General features: G+C 44.5%; 1 annotated feature.

Annotated features, from left to right (window-relative positions):
- Positions 16,232 to 16,746: an enhancer, noted in NCBI's record as "H3K27ac-H3K4me1 hESC enhancer chr10:29683525-29684039 (GRCh37/hg19 assembly coordinates)". NCBI's record gives its function as "activates a minimal SCP1, AML or CMV promoter by ChIP-STARR-seq in naive H9 embryonic stem cells {active_cell/tissue: H9 hESC(naive)}" and the evidence as "EXISTENCE:reporter gene assay evidence [ECO:0000049][PMID:30033119]".

Here is a 26,386-nt window from a genome sequence, read left to right on the forward strand (position 1 = left end):
GTGGAGATGTCCAACCAGCTGTTGACTATTTAGATTTGAAGCTCAGAATTGACATTCAGAATCAGGGAGACATCATACTTTGTCTGTAGTTGATCGTGAGCTTGAAAAGCATGGCCCAGGACAGAGCATAAAGTGGGAGGGGCTATGAGCGGGTACAGAATCCTGCAGAACGTGGGCATGCCAGCGAGGAGACAGGCTCGCGGAGGACAGAAGGAGGGTTCCGAGAGCCGCAGGCAGAAGCAGGGCAGGGTGGTGTCAAAGAAACCGGGGGGTATGAAGGGACAAAGGACGAGTGTCCCCTAGAAGAGAGAAGAAAGCCCATTGGATTTGGAGCAGGAAGAGGCCCACTGAGAGTGGCCTGGGGACAGAGTGCATGTGAAGACAGCCCAATATCGGCTGCTTTTTAAAAAATGTGGATGAGAAGAGGAGAGTCAGGATAGTTACTAGAGGAGCACTGAGGGTAGGGGGGAGTCGGTTGGGGGGCTTGGTTGGTGTTTGGCTGTTTACTTATTTACTTATTTGCATTGGGAGAAAGGGATCTGATGGCATTTACAGATGGAGGGAAGGAGCCAATAGTGAAGGACAGGCTGATGATTAGAACACATGAGAAGGGCTGACACCCCATCCCACCACTTTTCTCCTTGTCCCAAACAAGCTGTGTGCTCTTGGGTGGTTTCCTGCCCCCTCTCATCCTCAGGCACCTCACCTAGAAAAACATACAGAGTAAAATGGTGAATCGTGTGTAAGATCTCTCCTAGCTCTAAGAAAATTCCATTTCCAAATTTCAATCTTTCAGCTATCTAAACAGCAAAGGGAAGAATTATACAGGTTAAGTATGTTTAAATAACTGTCTTTGAAATGAAAGCCAACATTACAATATCTCACGTCACTAAATGCATGCATGTGGTAAAATGCAAAGCAACCCACTCAAAATAGTTGGTGTGTGGTTAACTGTGTAAATGGCATGTCTCCCTCTGCATGTGAATCTAGAGGCTGGCCCTTGAGATCCACCATCCATATATGCCACAGTTGAGTCTTCAGATCCAGCCTGTCGGTATTTCCATTCTCGAGCACTGGGTAATGTGGTCCTGGCATAGCTCTGTGCCAAACACGTGGTTAACACTTGGACTTATAAATTGTTTATAATCAGCCTCCCTGGCCAATTACAATAGAGAATTTGTATGCAAGTGAAGATATTCAGGCATGCAGAAAATTAAATAAACAGTCTATACACATGTTGAAATACATCTTGCAAATTGCAGGAAACATATTCACATTACTTTTTATGAAGGCCTCGGCTGTGTTTAAGAGGCCCTTTCTAATAAGGAATGTTTTGACTATGATCCTCCCAAGACACTATAGCACTCAACACAGAAAGATACAATTTTCTTATTCATGAATGTCATAAATGAGCTCAAGAAGGCCTTGGCACGCTTCTTCTGTGCCCTAGCAATGGAAGGTGAGTGCTAACCTCATTCATTTCCTTGATGAAAAGGTATCTTGATTGCTCTGCATCTAGAAGAATGGCTACTTTAAGTCCCAGGGGCACTTAATAAAACGTCTTCGGACTGAGTGACACTGATGAGCAGAGAGCAATTTCCATTTCCCTCCTATGATCTAACAAGTAGCCGGGGGCCGGTTCTTCCAGATGCATCCTCGGCTTGGTAGCACACAGAGGTCAGTCCATTAGGGAGGCCAGACCTCCAAAAGAAGAGGCTCTCAAAAAGACAAAACTTGGTGACCACATTCCCCCAACTCAAACATCATTAACACCTTCATTCTTGGGACAATGATAAAGTTTCTTGATGAGTGTTGATAATTACCTACTTTAAAGATTATTCAGACCCCCTGCTCTCTTTTCTGTTCTCTCTCTCTCCCTCTCTCAATCTCTCTCTACCTTTTGGTGCAGAAAGAGAACGAGCAAAAATCAAACCAGTCATCTGGGCTCCGCGATGAGCCTTTCAGGTTGAGAGATGAGTCGCCAGGAGAGTCAGGGAGGTTTGGCCGGAAGGAAAAGATGGCTTGTTGCTGTGTTTCTGTCTCTCCTGTTGCGTTTGCTCTCATTACTGATGAACTGGGGGACTGACTGAAGAGAGGGGCTTCCTGTATCTGTGCTCTCTGGGGGCCGACTTCTGCCTGCCTTTCTGGTACCCGTGCTCTGCCAACAATGTGCGGCTTGCATTCAATTTGCTCAAACACTCACCGACTTTAATTAACTGATTTCTGTTCCAAGAACCAACATCAAATACTCTTGTGATCTTCCATGGTGAAGCAGAAACCACTGGGTGAGGGGACAGGAAATCGACCCGCCCCCAACTCCTGCTGGTTACGCTGAGCTGGGGCCAGAAACACCCCATAAACCCTCGGGCAGTCATTTATTAGAAATAATGTCATTGAAATGGAAGTTGCCATGGTACAGTGGCCTCCAGCTGAGAGCCCAGACTCCTGGGGAGGAGGGAGGGAAGAGGCCTTCCAGCTCCTGCTGCTACTCGTTACCCTCACTCCCACTGCGCAGATAAAGCACCACAAAGGGTTAGCGACTCTTTCATTTAAAAGGTGATTCAGGTGAGGTTTATTTTTCATTCCATTAAATAAACGTTGCAAAAATGTTGGAGTCAAGAGAGTAAAATCAGAAGCTGAAACAAAATGACTTAATTGCTTTGCCATATAGAGGCATATTTAGAAATGAGAGGTGCAACAGGAAAGATTGCATCACTGAGATTTTAAATCCTTGGTTACTGCAAGCAAACACAGCCACAAACCTGGATCCCAACTCTGTCCAAGTTGAAATAAAAGCAAGATTGGCTTTATTACAAATGAGTAGAGGTATGGGTTTATTGGGATGGGCAGCTTTTGAATTCTTTTTGCCTGATGTCGTTTTACAGAGATGGATAGCTGGGCATTCCAAGCCCAAGGATAGGGACTCGGATTAAACCAAGTGTGTGGTTTGGTTTTTAAGCTGTGCTGGAGGTCCTTTTACCTAATGACCCGGCCTCTGCTCTCTGCAAATAAGCCTCATCTTTCTGATGAAATTAACGAACATAGGCTTTTCCTCCTCTCCCATGGCCTATCACCGTGGGTATACATGGAATGTAGAATTGCTCTTCAAGTGGCTTGGGGGACCTAGCGCGCTCCGGCCCCTCTGAGGTGTTCAACCCTGCCCTGCCTCCTCTTACCTGCGTGACCTCAGGCAGGTTAGTTTCTGTGAACTTCAGATTTGTCATTTCTAAAATTAAATGAATAGTAATAAGAATAATAGTACTAATAATAATGAATGTAATTTCTATGGCTGCCTGACAAATGACCCAAAACTTAGCAGTTTAAAACAATAAACACGTGCAGCCTCACACAGTTTTCTGCAGGGTAGGAATCTGGGAACAGCTTAGCTCCAGCCCAGGACCTCCATGAGGCAGCAGTGAAGGGGCAGGCTGAGTCCAGAGTTATTCGAAGGCATGACTGGGGCTGGAGGATCTGCTTACACGATGGTACATTCACAGGACTGCAGACAGGGAGCCCCCGATCCTCACCTCCTGGGCTTCTCCACAGCTCACTTGAATATCCTCATGGTGTGGAAACTGGCTTCCTTCCCCCAGAGTGAGTGATTCCAGAGAGAGCAAGGGATTAAGCCACAATAGCTTTTGCAGCATAACCTGGGCGGTGACAAACCTTCACTTCTGTGTTCTGACGGCCACACAGACCAATCCCAAGGACCGCGGGAGAGGCCCATGCAACGCTGCCGACCACATCTCCCTTGAGGGGTGTTAGGAAGATGAGTGTGTGTCCATGTGAAGTAAGCAAATGACACTCAGTAGAGGCTCGATAAAATAAACCAAAGTTATCACTATTTATCCCATCAGTACGAAGCATCCCAATTCAAAATGTGAGGCTGAGAAAGAACTGCTAGGTTAACATACAGAAGAGCCAAATGAGAACAACATCCATTCATCCAACAAATATTTACTCATAGAGTGTGTAGTATGCTCCAGACACTGTTCTGGTTACTTGGGCTATATTAATAAACAAAATCAAGATCCTTGCCTTTATGCAGCTAATGTGCCAGAGGTGAGACACAGACAATTAAAACAGACATAGTAAATGAGTAGATTGTATAGCACATTAGAAGGCAGGATGTGCTATAACAAGAAGAAGAAAGGAAGAGCCAGTCAAGGGGCATTAGGAATGCAGGGGCAGGAGGTGCAGATTGAAATATTCAGCATGGCGCTAGCACGGGTCTTATGGGAAAGGTTCGGCAGAGCACAGAGGGGCCATGAGGCAGGCCCTTTCCTGGGAGACACAGACTGCTCTGCAGAGATTACGTCCTAAGGCTTCACTGCAGCCTGGGACCGTCCCACCTGACTCTCCCTCTCTCTCCTGCATTGGAGATCTGACCTGCATCCCAACCTGATGCCTCCCTTAGCCTCCTCCCTCCTTCCTGATATCTTCTCATGGGAAGATGCTCTCAGAAAAGCCTCGCTCACTGAATCCCCCCCGGGCATCTGTATCTCAGGGGACCGGGTTGGCACACCAGGGAAGGATGCCAGCTTCTGCACTGAAGGAAAAGGGCAGCACTGCAGGGCTCAGAGAGAGAAGGAGTGCCATGGGAGCTGCTCTGAAAGGATTGTCCTGACGCAGTTTTGAAGAGAACCCTTAGGAGAAGCAGGAGTCACAGCAGGAGACCAGGTGGAATGTTCTAGGTTCTGCCACAGCCAGGAAATGATGACGCCACTGTGACCCGGGGCAGCAGGGAAGTGGTGAGAAGTGGTCTGACTCTGGGTGTATTTTAAAGATACAACCAACAGGATTTCCTGGTGGATTAAATGTGTGGTGTGAGAGAAAGAGGAGTCACGGATGTTCAGCCTAGGAAGCTAGACCAATGGAGCCACCAACACCTGGAATGGGGGAATCTGTGGGCAGAGCAGATCTGGGAGAAATTTGGACATGTCAGTATGACGTCTCCTAGACATTCAAGCCACCATCTCAAGGAGGGACTTGGACAAACGTGTGCAGTTTAGGAGAAAGTTCAGGGCTGGCGATGGACGTATAGGGGTTATTATGTGTAGATAAACAGATGTTTAAAGACAAGGGACAGGATGAGGCCTCCGGGGAGTGTGGGAGATAAGGAAGGGATGAGGCTGGAAACCAAAAAGTGACTGTTGCAAATCTCAATCCATTTAGAGGTTTATTTTGCACACTTGAGGATGCGCCCAGGAAAACACACACACACACACACACACACACACACACACACACAAAAGTTACAGGAGGATCTGTGGCCTGCGCTTTTTCCAAAGAGGGTTTTGACAACTTCAGTGTTTAAAGGGGAAAGAGCGGGCAGGAGGAGAAGGAGGAAAGAAAAAAAAGGAGGGTAGGCAATGAGGCAAGTGGTTACATTTTTATAAGGTTTTGATTAGCACATGCTGAATCCACATTTTATATGTGAAAAGGGGAGGTCAATTATGCATTCATCTGTGCTCAGTAAATCTACATTCTACATAAGATAAAGTAAGCATGTGAAATTACAGCTATTTTATATTTGTTTGTTGTTGTTGTTAAAAGTTGATTTTTTTTTTCATGACTCAGTTCCTAAGCTTCACTTTTCCCTTTGGCATAGTGAGTTTGGAGTCCCGGGATTTTATTTTCCTTTCACGAGGCTGAAGACATTTTGGCATTATGAGGTTAAGGTGCAACAGATGACCCAGCAGAGAAGGCAGGGTGATCAGAGAGCAGGAGGAAAACCAAGAGAAGGTGGCATCCAGAAGTTGAGGGGAGAAGGAGCATGAAAGAGGAGGGGCCATCAGCGTGCCTTAGCTGCTGAAGTCTGGCACGATGAGGATGGAGGAATGGCCATTGGATCTAGCAGTGCAGAGGTCATTAGTGACCATTAAGGAAAATGCTGGGCCTTGCTTTTCCTCTGGGAGGCCACCCCTTCCACGTGTGGGTGTCCTGCCCTCATCCCCAGGGATGCAGACTCCAGACCACCTCATCCCTGATGACCGAGACCCTCACCTTCTGAAGCAGCTCTGCCCACTCTACATTCTCCTTTGAGCCTGGTCTCTGCTCCTTGAGGGAGGGTACAGCCCGCCAGAGTGCTGAGCCACACTCCCTGCTGACGTGAGCGTGGGAGCAAAGTGCTTCACTTGCTCATTTTACCAGGTGGTTTCCAGAGACAGTGTTCCTCAACCAAAGGAAAGTGTCCTAGTGATTGGAACTGCACCCCAAAGAGTAGGTCTTGAGTCTCAGAAGGAGAATCACTGGGCCAAGTGTGATGGGAGTAGGGCCCTGGTCCCAGCTCTTCTAGTGACCAGTGTTGTGGGCGAGCCAGAACTATCTGGACCGGTGGCATGGGGGTAAAAGAATTTACCAAGACAGTTGTAGATAAAGAAAGGCAGATTTATTTGTTTAAAAAAGCATGAAAATATGTGATAAGAAGGCAACGGGCAGCCAGCAGAAGAGCAGCTGATAGCCAGCAGACAGAGGCTTGCTGGGGATTTTATAGGATGGTGCTTGTGCTGTGTGCTGGAGAGGGCTGTGTGCGATACTGACAACGCCAAGGTTGCAGTGAGCCAACTTGCAGGTGTCTGGTGATACCTGGGCACAGGAAGATTGTGAGTTATTTGCACAGGAGGGCTGTGTGTCTGGACCATGAAGAAAGGCAGACTTACAGCTTACCTGTTTCCTCTTTTTGCTTTCCCCTCCTCCCACCAGCCTGACTCCTTTTTACTAATTAGGACTCCAGACCCAGCTCTCTGCCCACATTCACCTCACCCTTCTCGGCCTTATCTGCTTCCTCTGTGGAATAAGGGGATCAGTTGCCAGATTCTCATGCTGTCTGGATGATAGAACCCCCACATCACTCTATGCATAACACTGTGGCCTATTCAGCACATTGTGGATTTCTAAATAAATATACAATAATTTCTAAATTCTAAACAAATTTAATTTTATAATAAGAAATAAAAAGAATTTTTCCAGCAAAAAAAAAGGGAGAAATAGAGGCCTTATCTTTATAGTCTAATACTAAACAAGGGACCTGAGCCATGGGAAGGGAAGAGGGGCAGCTGTTGACCACAGTTCATCTGTCCCAGGGTCTCACGTAAGAGTCTTTTTGGTTAGAGAGGCATAGTAGGTACAATGATTTAAGAAAAATATATGGGAGAAAATATATGGCACAGGGGGTCACACCTGTAATCCTAGCACTTGGAGAGGCAGAGGCAGGAGGATCACTTGAGCCCAGGAGTTTGAGGTCAGCCTGGGCAACATAGTGAGACCTCCTGTCTAAAAAAAAAAAAAAAATTAGCTGGGCATGGTGGCACATGCCTGTGGTCCCAGCTACTCAGGAGGCTGATGTGGGAGGATCACTTGAGCCCAGGAGTCCAAGACCAGCCTGGGCAACATAGTGAGACCTCCTTTCTACAAAAAAAAATTAATAAAACAAAATTAGCTGGGCTTGGTGGTGTGTGCCTGTGGTCCCAGCTACTCAGGAGGCTGATGTGGGAAGACTGCTTGAGCCTGGGAGGTCGAGGCTGCAGTGAGCCGTGACAGCACCACTGCACTCCAGCCTGGGTGACAGAGCAAGACCTTGTCTCAATAAAATAATATTAAAAGAAAAGAAAAAAAAATACATGAGAGAAAACTCAGAATTGAGAAAATCGTTCTCATTAACTTTCTTCCTGTGACTTGGGGAAGATAGGCCATTAATTGATTGCAATTCTGGAGCCAGAGAAAACCCATTTTCTAGGCTGAGGATCACTTGCTAGACAGTCTCCAAAGCTCCTTCCACCTGTTAAGTGTCTAAGATTCCACAAAGTGACACCTACCTCCTCCAGGGGCTAAAGTCACCTGAAATACTACAGCGTGGGCTCCCAAGGTGAGGCTGCTTCCCTAGGAGCATGAAGTGAAATGAACGGATTTATTTTATTTTATGAATTAAATAAGATCTTTGGGCAGAGGCTTCAGACAGATGGGATATCTAAAGCGGCAAGCTATGCTCTTCTAAAGAAGCCAAAGGAGAGTGTAGAAGGGCCAGTTAGACTTTGCAACCTCAGAAAGAAAGTATTTGTGAAGAGTCAGGCATGCAAAGCATTTCTTAGCCATCAGAGCGGGGAAAGATGAATTGATGACTTGGTCTCCAACCCCCTTTCCTACCCGCCCGCCTAGGAAGCCTAGTGTCTGTAATTACTCCTGTCGGCCTCTAGATGGCAGTCAGAAAAAAAACAAAGATAAAACTCAAATTAAACAGAGAAAGAGAAACCAGTAAAGGTTAGAACAAAGGTACAGAAACAAATATGATTTTTAAAAAAAAATCATAAGGGTAAACCAAGAAAACTAACCAAGGACTTCTGCATATAATACATAACCAATGCTTTAGGAGAAATGTCATTCAAAGCTACTTAATTTAGAATTCTAAAACCAAATTTACAGCTTACTTGGGTACGTTTTTGATAGTTCAGTCACAATGTCAATATTTATGCAATAAATGTTATTGTACTAGGTTGTTTTTTAAAGTCCCTCTAAGTTTTAAGGAGTCCCTGAATAAAGTCTTTTTTTTTTTTTTTTGAGAGGGAGTCTCACTATGTTGCCCAGGCTGGAGTGCAATAGCGTTATTTCGGCTCACTGCAACCTCCGCTTACCAGGTTCAAGTGATTCTCCTACCTCAGCCTCCTGAGTAGCTGGAATTACAGGTGCCTGCCACCCGGCCTGGCTAATTTTTGTGTTTTAATAGAGGCGGGGTTTCGCCATGTTGGCCAGGCTGGTCTCAAACTCCTGACCTCAGGTGATCCACCTGCCTTGGCCTCCCAAAGTGCTGGGATTACAGACGTGAGCCACTGTGCCCAGCCTTGAATATACTCTTGAAAAGTGACATATGCAAATTCAGTTTTTGCATCTTGAATCATATTTTCCAGTAGATTTTAACACAATCTTTATTTTGATTGTTCTCTGCCCTGCAGTTCTAGCCCTTTGGAACTAATATTTGAAATAAAACCAGGGATATTCTCTGGATCTGTGCTTTCATAGGAGAACTTGTTGGTGGTTCCATCTTCTCCCCTGGGAGGCTCCTCTGGGCAGTGTTGGTGCTTCAGGAGTGACAGGTGTGCGGCAGGTGTGCGGCAGGTGTGGGTGAGCTGTGCTGACTGCAGTGGAGGGACCTGTGTGTCCTGAGTCCTTAAACGAGGCAGCAGATCTGCTAGATGTGTCGTGGGATGCTAAACTGCAGAGGACTTCTTCCCAAGTGCCAGCCTGCAGCCCAGTAACACAGAGCTTGGGCTGCCCGAGGCCACTTTACCAGAGAGAGAGACCTCAAGTGCAGAACTTGGTGACAGAGCACTGAGGCCAAATGGCTCTTGGGACTGATACCCAAACAAAAAGAAGGCAGACCTCACATCTCAGTTCAGTCACCACTGACGCAACCCAGCACCCGACAGCACCAGGGGCATCTGACAAACGCAGAAGCCAAAACCCAAATGACAGACATTCAGAGGGATGAATTCCTGCTGGCAACTTGTGCACCGAAAACATCAGAAATATGCAGCTCGGAAAAAAAAAAAGGTGATTGACAGTACAAAGTGTCTACATTTGCAAATTATTTTTTTAAGTTAGCATCTTTTGTAAAAACATAAACTCATCGGGTTAGAATGGACCTCAAGAAATCACCTGGTCTAATGTCTAATTCTTACCTCCAGAAGGAGCAGCTCTTAAGCCATGCCAAGCAAAACAAAACAAGACCAACAAAACCACCTGCCCCTTCCTTTTCATCGAGTTTCTAGAGGAGATTTAACCAGGAACCACTGCTTTTTTCCCTTCACCATTAGGACATTTTTGTTGATGTCTGACTGTAGATTAAAACAGACCTGGATTAGAATTCATACTTCTCCATGTACAGGCTATGCACACTTAAGCACTGCCTAACTCTCAGAGCCGCACTTTCTCTATTTGTAAAATGAATATCAGAATATGCACCAATTAGAGGTGCTGCAAGGCTTGAATAAAGAATGTGTAAACAGGCTGGGCACAGTGGCTCATGCCTATAATCCCAGCACTTTGGGAGGCCAAGGTGGGCAGATCACTTGAGCTCAGGAGTTCAAGACCAGCCTGGTCAACATGACAAAACTCTGTCTCTACTAAAAATACAAAAATTAGGCAGGGCACAGTGGCTCACACCTGTAATCCTAGCACTTTGGGAGGCTGAGGCAGGTGGATCACCTGAGGTTAGGAGTTCAAGACCAGCCTGGCCAACATGGGTGAAACCCCATCTCTACTAAAAATACCAAAATTAGCTGGGCGTGGTGGTGGGCACCTGTAATGCCAGCTACTCAGGAGGCTGAGGAAGGAGAATCGCTTGAACCCGGGAGGCAGAGGTTGCAGTGAGCTGAGATTGTGCCACTGCACTCCAGCCTGGGTGACAGAGCAAGACTCCATCTCAAAAATAAAGAAATAAATGAATCAATAAAAATACAAAAATTTGCCAAGCGTGGTGGCGCATGCCTGTAATTCCAGCTTCTCGGGAGGCTGAGGCATGAGAATCACCTGAACCCAGGAAGCTGAGGTTGCAGTGGGCCGAGATCACACCACTGCACTCCAGCCTGGGTGACAGAGTGAGACTCTGTCTCAAAAAAGAAAAAAAAAATGCGTGTGTGTGTGTGTGTGTGTGTCTGTGTGTGTGTGTGTGTTTAAACGGCTATACATGATGGTTGGCCACCAACAATAGCCATACTAATGCAGATGTTTTGAAGACATTTTTGAATGTTACTGAGTGGGGATCCTGCCAGCATCTAATGGGCAGAGGTCAGGGATGCTGCTACACATTTTACAAGACACAGACTTACCAGCACCCTGTGAGAAAGAACTATCCAGCACCAGGTTGAGACACCTGCCTAGAAATGCCATGTCATAAGTTAGCCGGCGGAAGGATGCTAAACCCCTCTAGGGTCTAGTACAAGGTTGAAGGGACCCTAGCTGTTGAAAGCAGAGGGCATGTACTCCATGTCACACATTTTTGGCAAGTCTCACAAAGTTTTTGGCTTCAAGAAAGTCTGAAATTAAAATATTCTCATTTATTCCCACAGCCCCTGGGTTTCACCTTCAAGGCATCAAGATTTGCTGATAGCTGATTATTCCTCTACAGAGTTTCTTTGTGATGCATCTACTTATAACTTCCTTGGGAGACTTAAGAGTTGCATAGGAATTCTAGGGGCTGACTGCCTCTTCCACTGTGACTGTAAGCTAGAACCACCAGTCTGGTTTATATAACAGCCTAGAAAGAATGCTGTTCTGGGACTCAAGAGAAAGTCACTTGGTGTTTCTGGCCTTGGTTTGCTCACCTGTAAGATGGGCTGGTACAGTGGATGATCCCTAAGCTCCCGCCGTCGTGCCCTGATTCTGAGATAGCATTATCAGGGAATCTGTATGGACTCATGCAACTGTTCTCCTGGGATCACAAGGGTTGTGTGTCTCCCCTTCTCATCTTAAAATGAAATCTTGGAAATCTTCAGTATAAAATTCATATTGGTGTTTTCCTGACCATAAATATAATGCTCCTTACTCAGGAGAAGGGAGGACTGGGGAAAACTTGAGGGCACCGTTTGGTTCTGGGAATGAAGAGAGCACCCAGCCCCACAAGGCAGCTCTTGCTTCCTTTAGCTGAAGTTTGAGGCAGGTGACTTGAATGCTTGTATTGTTTTGTGTTTCACAGAGACCGGTCGGGGTGAGCAGTAACCCACGCTAACAGAGCTTAGTCAAGCAACCAGTACCGGCCAACGGACAGTGAAACTGAAAGAAAACTTGCAGAGCTTTCATGGAAAGTCCATCAGTGAAAACGGCCTGGATGAATATGGTGTAAACTGTCTCCCAGGCCCTGTTTCGTTTTTCCTTAGGTGTCAGTGGGAAACTACACATTTGCCGAATCAATTTTCTCTGCTACTCAGAGAAAAGCATCCTTTGAGATTAGCAACATAAGAAGATATACATAATTAAATAAATAAATAAATAAGGAAAAACAATGCACAAGTTTCGAGGATTAGAAGGACAAAAATTAAACAAGAAAAATAAATTTAAAAAAATAAAAGAAAGAGATTAGCAGCGTGGAAGCAGATGGCACAGGGAGGAGGGGGCAGTGGCCCCCAGATGGGCTGTGGGAGCAATGTCAAGGTTGGAGGTGGTGGGAGAAAGGTGGAATCTCTGTAGCCTGATAGAGGTTGAAGATGTCTTTACAAAGCTAGTGTACTTAATTATTTGTGGGGAACAAAGGGTCTTCCTGATCCATACAAAGTATACTCTCTTTTTAACAATCAGGGTAACCTAAGACAGATGATGAGGACCTTCCAAAAGTCAGTCACTCACCAGAATTCCAAAGTGCCAGGTTGCCTGATGAGAATACACGCTGTCTTGCCCAGGTGGCATGAGATGCCATGAGGCCCTGGAACAAGGGCTACAATCATTTTCTTCTTTAAAAAAGTTTTATTTGTATAAATGTATGGGGTACGAATGCAACTTATTACAGGGATGTATTGCATAGTAGTAAAATCAGGGCTTTTAGTGTATCCATCACCCAAATAATGTACACTGTACCTATTAAGTAATTTCTCATCACCCGCCCCCTCCCCTCCCTCCTGAGTCTCCAATGTCTATCATTTCACTCTCTATGTCCATGCGTATACATTTTTTTTGAGATGGGGTCTTGCTCTGTTGTCCAGGCTGGAGCACAGTGGTGCGATCACAGTTCACTGAAACCTTGACCTCCCAGGCTCATTCAATCCTCCCACCTCAGCCTCCTAAATAACTGGGATCACAGGTGCGCACCACCATGCCTGGCTACCTTTTGTAGAGACAGGGTTTCGCCATGTTGCCCAGGCTGGTCTTGAACTCCTGGGCTCAAGTGATCCAACTGCCTTGTCTTCCCAAAATGCTAGGATTACAGGCGTGAGCCACTGCGCCCAGGCTTGTGCACATTACTTAGCTCCCACTTATAAGTGAGAACATGTGGTATTTGTTTCTCTGTTTCTGAGTTCTTTGACTTAAAATAGTGGCCTCCAGTTCCATCCACGTTGCTGCAAAAGACATGATTTCATATTCCTTTATGGCTGAGTAGTGTTCCAGGGTGTATATATACCACATTTACTTTATCCAATCATCCATTGGTGGACATTGAGGTTGGTTCTATGTCTTTGCTATTGTGGATAGTGAAAAGCCACAATTATTTGATTTCACAGATACCCTCCTTTCTTTACGTGGGTTGAGCACAGGAAGAAACTGTCTACCTCAGTTACTACCACCATTGGCCTTCCAAATGTGGCTGTGTTTTGCCTGGGGTACGCAATCCCACCTTTATGCCTGTACATGCTTTGGAGTTGGAATTGGTCCTACTTGGGTTATATCTGGATACAAAGAAAAGTCAGTTAAATGTGGTGCAGCCACTATACACATCCTGAAGGCCCAAGTGCTAATCTCACACCTTAATTGCAGTAGGAATTATAAGTGGCAGGCTGCCCTTCTTTCTGACTCCATGGATCCTACCTGCTCACCCCTGGCCATCCCTCTGCCTTCACCCTCTAATACTTTTGCCCTCTGCTCTGACCACATGGGATGCCCGCTCCTTGCTCCTGCTGGAACACTCATCCCCAGGCAGCTCCAGGCTCCCCCTCAACTCCTCCCGCTTCAGTGAGGACTACGCTGGACGCCCTTTCATTTGTCTCTCTTTCCTACAAGAATGCAAGTTCTATAGGGAATAGATGTTTGTCTCTTTCCTTCACTATACGGGACTTGCCTAACACATAGTAAGCGCTCAAGGAATATTTGTCAAATGAATACACATCCTGCTTGAATCTCAACCCTTGCTGCTGCAGGTTAAAGAGTTCTAATAAAATGTCTTCTGCCTACCTCCCAAGGACACTGTTGTTTCTTAAGAAGGGAAATTGAATTTCTAATGTGAAGGGGGAGCTCTTCTCTAATTTCCTGCACTGTTATGGAGTCTTTTCTGTTTTTCATATTTCTTCATCAGTTCATCAGAGGTCTAGAAAGGAGATGACTTGGGCTATCATTTTACTCAGAAACTGTGTCTTTTTTTTATCTTGAGCAAAATTCCTCTCCTGTCTGTTGACTTCTATGTAGAATTCCAAGCTCGTAGGACAGATGACATGGATCATTAGATTAAGCCCAGAAGGGCAAACGACTTGTGCTGGAAAGTCAGGAAAACAGAGTGAAGGGCTATAGCAGGAGGATGTAGAAGCTAGCTGGGGCCCCCTACTGGCAAATGTGGGGATAATGTAGCAGTGAAACAGAAAGATAGTGATGGATTGTAACCCATTGAATAGAAAAAGAATCCATGAGTTCATATTGATATCAACAAACAAATGATAAATTGATTAGGGAGAGGGAAACTCTTCCGTATAGCAGAGTTCTGGCCAAGAAATATGGAAAGAATGAAGGAATTAGAAATGTATTGAGGTTAAATGCTGAACCTAGTGGGTGAAGGTTTGATAGGAACAGGATATTTACATAGTCTCAAAGTATCTCTCCAGAAGTTACTTTCTAATTTTTTTTTGAGATGGGTCTCTCTCTGTCACCAAGGCTGAAATGTAGTGGCAAACATAGCTCACTGCAGCCTTGATTTCCTGGTCTCAAGTAAATCGTCCTTCCTTGGCCTCCCAAAGTAATGAGATTACAGGCATGAGCCACCACATCCATCCTGCTTTTAATTATAAAGAAAAAATAGTAACTTTATTCATAAAAAAATAACAGACACCATCTTTACACAAAAGGAAAATTGTTCAGCATGGTACAGTGATAAGCTGAGCAAAAGGCCAGGTGGAGCTTAGAAAAATGTATAAGAAGGGTTGCATCAGTAAGGACTTTTAATTAAACCAGTGAAAACAGCAGAAAAACAAATTAAACAAAGTCCTCTTCCCCCTGGCGCTCCAGGTGATTGAATCAGCTGCCCAAGCAAGCTGAAACAGGGCAGCATGGAATAAAACCACTTGGCATGTGGGTAACTGTGTTATTTCCAAAGGACTTTCCCAAATATCATCTTGCTTTATGCTATTTCTCACAGCAATTTTGTGACGCAAAGCAGCTATCTCCTGTGTAAGCCATCTCCTGATTAACATATGAGCACACTCAACCCACAGGGTACATGACTTTTCCAAGGCCACAGAACGGAGCCAGGACGTGACCCCACGCTGCTGGCACCATGGCCAGTGTCCCACCGCACTGACCCGTCACTTGAGCTCACTTGCACCATCCCTGTAAAATGCCAGGTAACTCCTGCATCACAAAGAAAAATATTCTCAAGGAAGTAGGAAATTTTGTTTTGTTTTGTTTTGGTTTTTTTTGAGACAAGATCTGGCCCTATCGCCCAGGCTGGGGTGCAGTGGCATGATCTCAGCTCACTACAACCTCTGCCTCCCCGGCTCAAGCCACCCTCCCATCTCAGCCTCCTGAGTAGCTGGGACTACAGGCATGCTCCACCACACCCAGCTAATTTTTGTATTTTTTTGTAGAGGTGGGGTTTTACCATGTTGCCCAGGCTGGTCTGGAACTCATGAGCACAAATGATCTGCCCACCTCGGTCTCCCAAAGTGCTGAGATTACAGGCATGAGCCACCATACCAAGCCTGAAAAACATGTTAATATTGCTTTTTGATGCCATTTCATTGGTACACTTAATCTGAATCATTCTACTTCTTTTGATAAATTTCCTGAAAATAAAGAACGAGTATCAGAAAGGTAAAACTTGTGAGCAGAATCTTTTCTGAAATGCTAATGAAGCCAATTGCAAAGGAGTAAAAAGCTTCAGAGATGTATTTCTATCGGGAATTGCCAGGGAGACAAATACCATCTGCAGTAGAGAAACGGCCCTCCATCTCTCCTCTCAGGAGCCCAGGGATGTTCCTCTCTGCTGTTTCTTTGTTTTGGGTACAATGTGCCTGAAGGAGTTGGTAGAAAAATCATCCTCATAGGGTACTGATGGCGGCAGTGGCCCATCTGGAGCAGCTGCTGCAAAGATGCCTGCTGCAGTGAGGGAGGCCCGGCTGGGGCTGCAGCTCTGCGGAACCAGCAAGGGCTGGGAACAGGCAAGAGCCCCATGCGACTACCAAGTCAGTGGGGCAGGAGCCCTGTGCTCCCAGGCACAGCTGCAGCTGCCCAGCCACAGCTCCAGACAGGGCATCCCTGCGTTCTCAGGAGCCTGGGAAGTCCCTGCTCCCCCCACAGGCTCTGAAGTGCTTGCTCCTGCTCCCTGGCCTCTCCTTGCTCCCAGAGGAGCAAGTTTGTAGTGCGGAGAAAATTTGCAGCCAAGCCTGGACACTGTTGCCAGGTGTGTGAGCACTCAGGGTGGTGCTGACATGCTGGTCCCCTGACGCCTTGGCCCCCTCTGGACTTTGGGCAGGGGAGGGACTGAGGGTGACTCTGCACAGGCCTGCAGATGCCTCTCTGCATGAACAGCCTGGGCACCCTAGATGGCATGTTGATGATGGCAGGAGGCAAATAGGTTCCTAAGTGGAAAGGGGCAGGTCCCTGGTGAAGCCCCTCCTTTAAGTCAGGCACGGCCTGAAGCCTGGGGGCTAGGCTGCCAGTTCTAGGTGAAGTCCATGCTCCGGAGTGAGAATTTATGGTGCTTTTTCTGGGTCCACCCATAGCCGCCCATGGGCCATCCCCTTTCTCCTTTCTGAGCCCATAAAAACCCCAGACTTACACAGACATCAGGATTACCAGCTGCTGGAAGGAGCTACCTATTTTGGGTCTCCTCAACTTGCCAGGATGACCTGTCTGGGGAAAGGAACTGGACAGTCATCAGGATGACCTGCCTGAGGAAAGGAGCTGTCAACTTTGGGTCATTGGAGAACTGTTCCATCACTCAGTGAAGCTCCTCTCTGCCTTGCTCACCCTCCAGTTGTCCACATATCTCACTCTTTCTGGATGCAGGATAAGAAGTCAGGACCTGCTGAATAGCAAGACTGAAAGAGCTGTAACACAAACAGGACTGAAACACATCCCCCTGCTCCCCACATTTTGGGTGACAAGAAAGAGAGAAGAACTGTGGCCCTTTAGGGAACCCAGACCTAGGGGCTTCCTGAGCCAGGGCTGTGACACCCTCTTTGGTGCTCTGTGGTTTCTGGCATCTCCAAGCTTCCAGGTGCCACCACATTCCCCTTGTCCAGACACAGATGCCCACAGTGGAAGCTGTTGGCAGTGCGTCTGATCCAGCCGCAGGCTCTTGCATGGAGCTGGCACATGTGCTGGCACCTGGAGCTGCCCGCCCCACAGCAGCAGCTGGTGTGCCTGGATGTGTGCAGTCGCCAGACCCCATACTTGCTCACTCACACACTCCTAGCCACTCTGCGCCTGGCTCAACCTTGGTAGGCATGGGATCAAGACCAATAGCACAAGCTGAGTGCAGCCTGCCAGGCCGAGTGGACAGAACAAGCCCAGTGGAGCCCAGCAAAACTGAGGAAAAAGTGCCACTACTCACAGAGGTTTCCAGCTGGAAAAGCGACACCCGAAGGACCCCATGACAGTACTTTTCCTGCTTGTCTTCATTGTTATCTTTCTCACAGATCAATCCCTTTCTTTCTGGAATTAATGTCATGGTTGATTTTGTTTCTTTTAAACACTTTATATTTGTAACTTTGAGAAATTTAGAAAACGCCAGAAAAGTTGAAAGACTCTTATAACAAACACCTCTCTGATTACTACCCATAACTGACTACTCTTGAATTACTAGGATAGTTCTTTTCAATCTTTCTTTTCCATTTAAAAACAAAGTAAAGTAAAATAACACTGCAGTTAAACTGAAGTTCCGTTTATTTTTCTCCATCCAAGTTCATTCCCTTTCTCCTACAAAAGGCATCTCTCACATGGATTTATTTATAAAATATTGCACATAGGTATCTATGTGCTCACATAACATATATTATTGCTTATTATCCACTCTTTTCAAATTTTTCTTTGCAGGAAAATATGCCAAACAAATCCTTGCAATTCTGAAATCATTCTGGTTAGGATTTGATTATCTTATCTCTTTCCAACATAAAGTCCCATGAGGCAAGTTACGATAATAGTTAATACCATGGACAAGGCACTGTTCTAGGTGCATATACTTGTTACCTCATCTGTTTTTTTCTTTTTTTCTGGAGACAAGGTCTCACTCTGTCACCCAGGCTGGAGTGCAGTGGCAGGACCATAGCTCTCTGTAACCTCAAACTCATGGGCTCATGCAATCTTATCCTCTCAGCCTCCCCAGTAGCTGGGACTACAGGTGCATGCCACCATGCCCTGCTAATTTTCTTTTCTTTGTTTTAGATTTGGGGTCTTTCTCTGTTGCCCAGGCTGATCTCAAACTCCTGACCTCAAATGATCCTTCCATCTCAATCTCCAAAAGAGCTGGTATTATGGGCATGAGCCACTGCACATGGCCTTGTTACCTCATCTTATCCTCACAATAACCTTATGGACATATATTATTATGATCCTCATTTTAGAGATTGAGACTTAGGCACAGAGGCACTGGGTCACTTTCTTGAGCCTGCGGAGGTATGAGCTGCTGGGCAGGCTGGTCCTGGTGCCCAAGACCCACACTCCTGCCCTTGCTTATTGTTCCTTACAGAGGTCTTTGCTTTTCCTAATAAGACCATTGTCTACATGATCAGTTGACACCTTGAAAGCAGGCTGGTCTTGACAGTTTCACATGTTCCCTTTCTAATTGATGATGCTTTCCTGGGATAATGAATGAACTCAACTTCGGGTTCAAGTTGCTCCAACAACCCACTTCCAGCCACAGCACTCCCATGAGAGCCTCTGCAGCCTGGGCCCCTCCAGCTCATAGGGATGCCCACCCAGGCCAAGCGCTTCTAAACGAGCGACCTCCTCAAAAGAAAGCATAGGAGAAAGCAGGAATCAGTAAAACTTTTCTGGTTTTCTCTTCAAATATTAACAAATTGACACTTAAGAAGATACGGCAACCTCTTAGATCCAGAGGATAAAAAAGGCTCCTTCATGCTGCTTTCAACTCATTAGAAGACGTGACACTTACCATGCAGCCTTCTGCTGTCTCTCCTCAGCAGTACAAGCCTCAGCCCCTAATCCTGCCTGGCTGCTGAAGGATTAGACCCAGCACTTAGTATTTAACCTGTTCCTCCCCTGCACATCTTGTGGATTTGGTTTTTCTTTTATGGGTTGCCAAAAGCAAAATAATAATACCTGTCACTTCAGCCAAGGGAGATTTATTACTTTTAATCAAAGGATACTTGTTATAAAAGGAGTTATGTATATATGAATACACACACAGATACACACATATCTATGCATGTATACAGACAGACAGACATCAGCAAACGTAAATCCCCATTTGGGGACTCAGGGCACTGTCTGTTCCCCTCCTCCACTGATGGATTTTTGTTCACTGTTTGTCATCTGTGTCCTGGAGGCCACCAAAGGCTCATGTGCCCTCATAGTGTGGTGACATCTTAACCTCTAACACTTTCGCATGATCATTTTAATAGGTGCTGAAAAATTGGGAAATGGACGTTGAAAAAAATGACAGGCCTGGCACGGTGGCTTACTTATACAATCCCAGCTACTCAGGAGGCTGAGGCAAGAGAATGCCTTGAGCCCAGGAGTTTGAAGCTTCATTGAGCTATGATCATGTCGCTGCACTCCAGCCTGGGTGGCAGAGCGAGACCTTGTCTTTATTTAAAAAAAAAAATCATCCCTAATCACTTATTCCTGAGTCTGTCCCAGCCAACAAGGTCATCGACCCTACAATTGCAACAAGAGGGATGAGGGGAGGACAAGGGAGGGACAAAGGCAGTAAAGTCAGTGATTAGGTGGACACCAGGTGGGTGTCCAAGTCAATATGGAAGGAGAAGGCATTAAGAAACAAGGAATCAAAAATCTAAAAAGAAAAAAAAATTAAAGTACAGCCTTATTCTTTTGCTGACATACTTTTTTCTCCACTGCCCAAGCCCCTCTTATTGAGAAAAGAGGCTGCATCCCAGTGCTTGGAAGCGCAGACACCCGTCCTCCTTCTGTGCTCTGAGTGTTTCAAACAGCCTTGCAGACAGCCATAGCACCTAGCACTGGGCTTAGCAGGCAGTAGCCTCTCAGTAACTGCCTGCAGAATTGAATTCAATAGCTAAGTGCTAGAATTATGTCCAGGTTAAAAGGGGTTACCAACATAAGTCAGAACTGACGTGGTGAAGCGATGATTGCTGGTCATCTCCTAATCCCAGCTGCCCTTCTTCTTTGGGAACAGACCACCCAAGTACAGCTGAGGAACGGTGCATCAGAGTGCCTAATTCTTTTTTTTCTTTGTTTGTTTGAGACAGAGTCTTACTCTGTTGCCCAGGGTGGAGTGCAGTGGTGTGATCTTGGCTCACTGCAAGCTCCGCCTCCCAGGTTCAGGCCATTCTCCTGCCTCAGCCTCCCAAGTAGCTGGGACTACAGGCACCCGCCACCAGGCCCGACTAATTTTTTGTATTTTTAGTAGAGATGGGGGTTTCACTGTGTTAGCCAGGATGGTCTCGATCTCCTTACCTCGTGATCTGCCTGCCTCAGCCTCCCAAAGTGCTGGGATTACAGGTGTGCTTTTTAAATTTTTATATTATTTTTTAGTGACAAGGTCTTGTTCTGTCACCCAGGCTGTAGTGCAGTGGCGCAATCATAGCTCAATGCAACCTTGAACTCCTGGGCTCAAGTGATTCTCCCGCCTCAGCCTCCCAAGTAGCTGGGACTACAGGGGTGAGCCACCTCACCTTGCCAGAATGCCTTATTCTTGCTACTTCTTTCTCATCCGTCTGATTAATGTGATGTCATCAATATAGTGTGATATTGGTTTTGATTTAATGTCTTGGCCTGGGTGAGAGGGTGGTTTCAGCGCCATCCACTGGACCATTCCTACTATAACATTATGTTCTTACTTTACCAATCAAGAGACCACATGACAGTTCCACTGAATGGTAATTATGTCCATTCCAATTATACATTCAGGAACTCGCAAAGTGACCCACAGGTAGGTCCACGGACCTGAGCCAGAACTTTATTGATCACATAGTTCCCATATATCCCTAATCGAACAGGAAGGCCTTTATCACTTTGAGTGTCAATCTTGATATTCTAATAGCATTAGAGAAATTTGGACATTCCTCTTTCCCCATTGCATGGTGATCTGAGTACATGGCTATAGACATCTTTGGGGAAAGTCCGGGGAAATTACCTCTTTCTACATCTGCCATGGGATGGCAGGTATTTCCCCACAGGGACCCAGCCTTTCCTTCAATTGATGGGTTCTAGGTGTAAGAACTGGCTTAGGTCTGGAAAGAAAGCAAGGGATCATGACTTTCCATCTGGGGTAACTGACCTCATCCTTCTGCTCATCCATGCTTTACCTTCTTTAAGATCAATATAACACACATTATAATACATTTATTCCATACTCTCATTGGCTACCCATCTCTCTTGCTCCTATGAATATCATTTTCTTCTGCTGTCTCCATAGACCTTTGCTGTTCAAGACTCCCTGGATACCTTTTCAACCTTTCTGCCCATTAAGGTCACTTGCATCTGATGGTTCAGCACTGCAGGTGACCTCTCCTTTTCAAGGATCCTTTCACTCATCTTGCTGCTAGAGGCCCCAGTTCTATAACAGCATCTCCTCCCATCAGCTCTGGCACCCAGGGAACAGTCCCCCACTCTGAGCTTCTCAACAGTACCGGAGCTCCCAAAAACTCACTCCTCAGTATCTTGGTATACAAGTCTCCTCCAGATCCTGCCGAGAATCAGGCTGGGTAGAGCAGATCCAACTGGCAGGCTCAGTTCTCTGGGCCTTCCTCCACAGTCTGCCTGGGAACTTTTTCCAGGCTTCTAACTGTGATATTAGAACTGGCCCTCAGGAACTTAGAAAAGGTCTTTAAAAGGTTTAAAAAGTTTCAGCATCAAAGAAACACATGCCAAAAAAAAAAAAAAAAAGAATCAGTTATTAACGTTAAGAAAAACAAAACTTATACCAAAGGTTAGGCTGAACTACATGAAACTGTCATCTTCCTAAGTCAAAATAGATGGATACTGACCATGTCAAGTAGTTTAACCAGATATCATCAGAGGACATTACTACTTGGCTTACCAGTGAGCAGCATTTATTTATTAAGTTTTAGAAGACTTCATGAAGACATCAGTACATTAATATGAAACAAAAATTATGCTATAACAATACAGGGGGAGCTGGGCATAGTGGTTCATGCCTGTAATCATAACACTTTGGGAGGCCGAGGTGGACAGATCACATGAGCCCAGGGGTTCAAGACCAGCCTGAGCAACATGGCAAACCCTGTCTCCACAAAAAAATTTTAAAAATTAACTGGGCATAGCAGTGCATGTCTGTAGTCCCAGCTACTTGGGAAGCTGAAGTGGGATGATCACTTGAACCCAGGATGTCAAGGTTGCAGTGAGCTGAGATTGCACCACTGCACTCCAGCCTGGGTGATAGAGTGATGCTCTGTCTCACAAAAAAAAAAAAAAAAAAAAAAGAAGAAGAAATATGAAGACTACATGTAAAAAATGGAATGCTCAGGATATCAGATCAATATACAAAAATCAATTGTTTCCATACATTTGCAGTGAACAATTCAAAAATTAAATTTAAAAGACAATTCCATCAGGAAAAAGGCAAGGACGTCCCCCTCATCACTCCTTTTCAACATCTTATTGGAAGTCCTAGCTAATGCAATAAGACAAGAAAATGAAACAAAATGTGTACAGATTGGGCAGAAAGAAACAAGACTATCTTTATTTGCAAATAACATGATTATCTATGCAGAAAATCTAAAATAAAAATAATTTTTAAAAATCTCCTGGAACTAACAAGGAACTATAGTAAGGGTGCAGGCTACAAGGTTAATATACAAAAGTCAATTGCTTTTCTGTACAATAGCAATAAACAAGTGGAATTTAAAATTAAAAACACAATACCATTCAGCATACAAAAAATGAGATACGTAGGTATAAACCTAATAGAAAATATGTATAAGACCTATATGAGGGAAACTACAAAACTCTGATGAAAGATGTCAGAGAAGAACTAAATAAATAAAGAGATAACACATGTTCATGGATAAGAAGACTCAATATTGTCAAGATGTCATTTCTTCCCAAATTGATCTACAGACTCAATGGAATCCCAATCAGAATCTCAGCAAGTTATATTGTGATTATAGACAAACTGATTCTAAACTTTATATGGAGAGGCAAAAGACCCAGAATAGCCAACACAATATTAAAGAAAAAAACAAAGTTAGAGGACCGTCATTACCTGACTTTGAGATTTACTGTAAAGCTACAGCAATCAAAATTGCATCATATTGGTGAAAGAATGGACAAGTAGACCAATCAAAACAAAATAAAGAGCCCCAAACAGACCCACATAAATATAGTCAACTCATCTTTGGCAACAGAGTAAAGGCAATATAATGAAGAAAAGATAGTATTTTCAACAAATGGTGCTGGAAGAACTGGATATCCACATGCAAAAAGATAGATCCAGACACAGATCTCATGCCCTTCATAAGTATTAACTACAAATGAATCACAGACCTAAGTGTACAATGCAAAACTATAAAACTCTTAGAAATTAACATAAGAGAAAACCTAGTTGATCTTGGGTAGGTGGTGACTTTTTGGATACTACATCAAGGCATAATTCATGAAGAAAATAATTTATAAGATGGACTTCTTTAAAATTAAAAATGTCTGTTCTGTTAAAGACAATGTCAATAGAATAAAAATACAAGCCACAAACTGGGAGAATATATTTGCAAAACACACATCTGGTAAAGAACTGTTATCCAAAGTATACATGCTGGGTGAGGTGGCTCACCTCTGTAATCCCAACACTTTGGGATGCCAAGGAGGGTGGATTGCTTGGGTTCAGAAGTTCGAAACCATCCTGTGCAATATGGTGAAACCCTGTTGGTACAAAAAATACAAAAAATTAGCCCAGCATGTCAGTGTGCACCTGTGGTCCCAGCTACTTGAGAGGCTGAGTTGGGAGGATCACTTGAGCCTGGGAGGTCGAGGCTGCATGAGCTATGTTCATGCCACTGCACCCAAGCCTTAGTGACAAAGCAAGACCTTGTCTCAAAAAAAAAATATATATATATAGTGTATATATACATATATACACATACATACACACAAAGAGTTCTTACACAAATAATTCTTGACTTGTGGGTGAAAATATCTGAACAGACACCTTACCAGAGAAGATGTACAGATGGCAAGTAAGCATATGAAAAAATGCTCAACATCATATGTCATTAGAGGATTACAAATTAAAAAGACAATGAGATACCACTACACACCTATTCGAATTATGAAAATCCAAAACACTGAGAGCATCAAATGCTGGAGAGGCTGTGGAGCAACAAGAACTCTCATTCATTGCTGGAAGGAATGCAAAATGGTACAGCCATTTCAGAAGACAGCTTGGCAGCTTCTTACAAAACTAAACACACTATTATCATATGAACCAGAATTACACTCTTGCTATTTACTTAAATATATTGAAAACTTATGTCCACAAAAATACCTGTACACAGATGTTTGTGGCAGTTTTATTTATAATTGCCAAAACTTGGAAGAAACCAAGATGCTGTCAGTAGGTGAGCAGATAAGCTGTGGTATATCCACACACTGGAATATTATTTAGCACTAAAAATAGAGCTATGAAAAAATACAAAGGAACTCGAAATGCATATTAGTAAGACAAAGACACCAATTATGAAAAGCCTCCATGCTGTATGATTTCAAATATATGACACTGTGGAAAAGGCAGAACTATGGAGGCAGTAAAAAAATCCGTGGTTGCCAAGGGTTGAGGGTGGGAGGAGGCAAGAATCAGTGGAGCACAGAAGATTTTTTAGGTGAATGAAAATACTCTGTGTGAAATTATAATGATGGAAACATATCATTATATATTTGCCAATAGAATATACAGCACCAACAATAAACCCTAATGTATGCTGTGGGCTTTGGGTGAAAATGCTGTGTCAACATGGACTCATTGATTGTAACAAATGTGCCACTCTGGTCCAGGATGTTGACAACAGAGGAAGCTGGGAGTGCATGGGGATAAGGGCATATGGAAAATCTATATACCTTCTGCTCAATTTTGCTGCAAATCTAACACTGTTCTAAAAACAAAAGTCTCTTAAACAGCAACTCCCATTTATAGTAGCATCACAAAGAATAAACTATTTAAGAGTATTTTATTAAATAAAATTAAATATTCTCTTTTTTTTTTGAGAGAGGATCTCCTTTTTTGCCCAGGCTGGAATGTTGTGGTGCAATCATGGCTCACTGCAGCCTTGATCTCCTGGGCTCAAGCCAACCTCCCACCTCAGTCTCCTGAGTAGCTTGGATGATAGGCCTGCACCACCACACCTGGCTAATTTTTGTATTTTTTTGGTAGAGACAGGGTTTTGCTATGTTGCCCAGGCTGGTCTCAAACTCCTGAGTTCAAGTGATCCTCCCACCTGGTAAAATAAAAACTTCAGCCAAATTAAATTTAAAGGAGTTTAATTGAGCAGTGAATGATTCGTGAAACGGGCAGCCCCCAGAATCACAGCAGATTCACAGAGACTCCAGCATAGCCACGTGGTGGAAGAAGATTTATAGACAAAAAAAAGGGAAACAACGTACGGAAATTGGAAGTGAGGTACAGAACAGCTGGATTGGTTACGGCTTGGCATTTGCCTTATTTGAACACAGTTTGAACCTTCAGCAGTGTATGAATTGTTGAAGTATGGCCACTGGGATTGACCAAGGCTCAGCTATTATTATAGGCACATATTCCTAAGTTACGTTTTGAATCCTGTCTACCTATTAAGCTAGGTTGCAGTTCATCCACAAGGACTCAAATATAGAAGTGTGGGGTCCTTCTAAGGACATATTTAATTCACTTTAACAATTCCTCCCTTTTGGTCATTTTCTCAATTTTGAGAGATTGACCAAAACTGTAGTTACTGATGTCACCATCACCTTTGTAAATGTACTTATTTGGTGTTGAAGCCCACTGGGAAACAGTAGAACAGTGGGTTTTGGAAGGAGGGAATGAGGAATGAGTAGAGGGTACCTCTTTATGCTGGAACGTCCTGTTTACAGGAGAAAAACAAAACCTGGTCTGTTCTAGGATCTATATGTTTCCTTAAAGTCTTAGTTTCATTATGTCACATTTAGCACAAGTTACTCCTTTTTAGTTTGGTTTGGCCTATTGGGGCCTAGGGCATGAGCTTAGTCCAAAACAATGGCCTCTCATAATTTTGTTTTAAAAAATTCCCCCTTTTTGGTCAGGTTCTCACTTAGGTGAGAGTATGACCAAAACTTAGGGCCTCAGCACCCCTCTCTG

This window comes from Homo sapiens, chromosome 10, assembly GCF_000001405.40.
Source record: "Homo sapiens chromosome 10, GRCh38.p14 Primary Assembly".
Taxonomy (NCBI): Eukaryota; Metazoa; Chordata; class Mammalia; order Primates; family Hominidae; genus Homo; species Homo sapiens.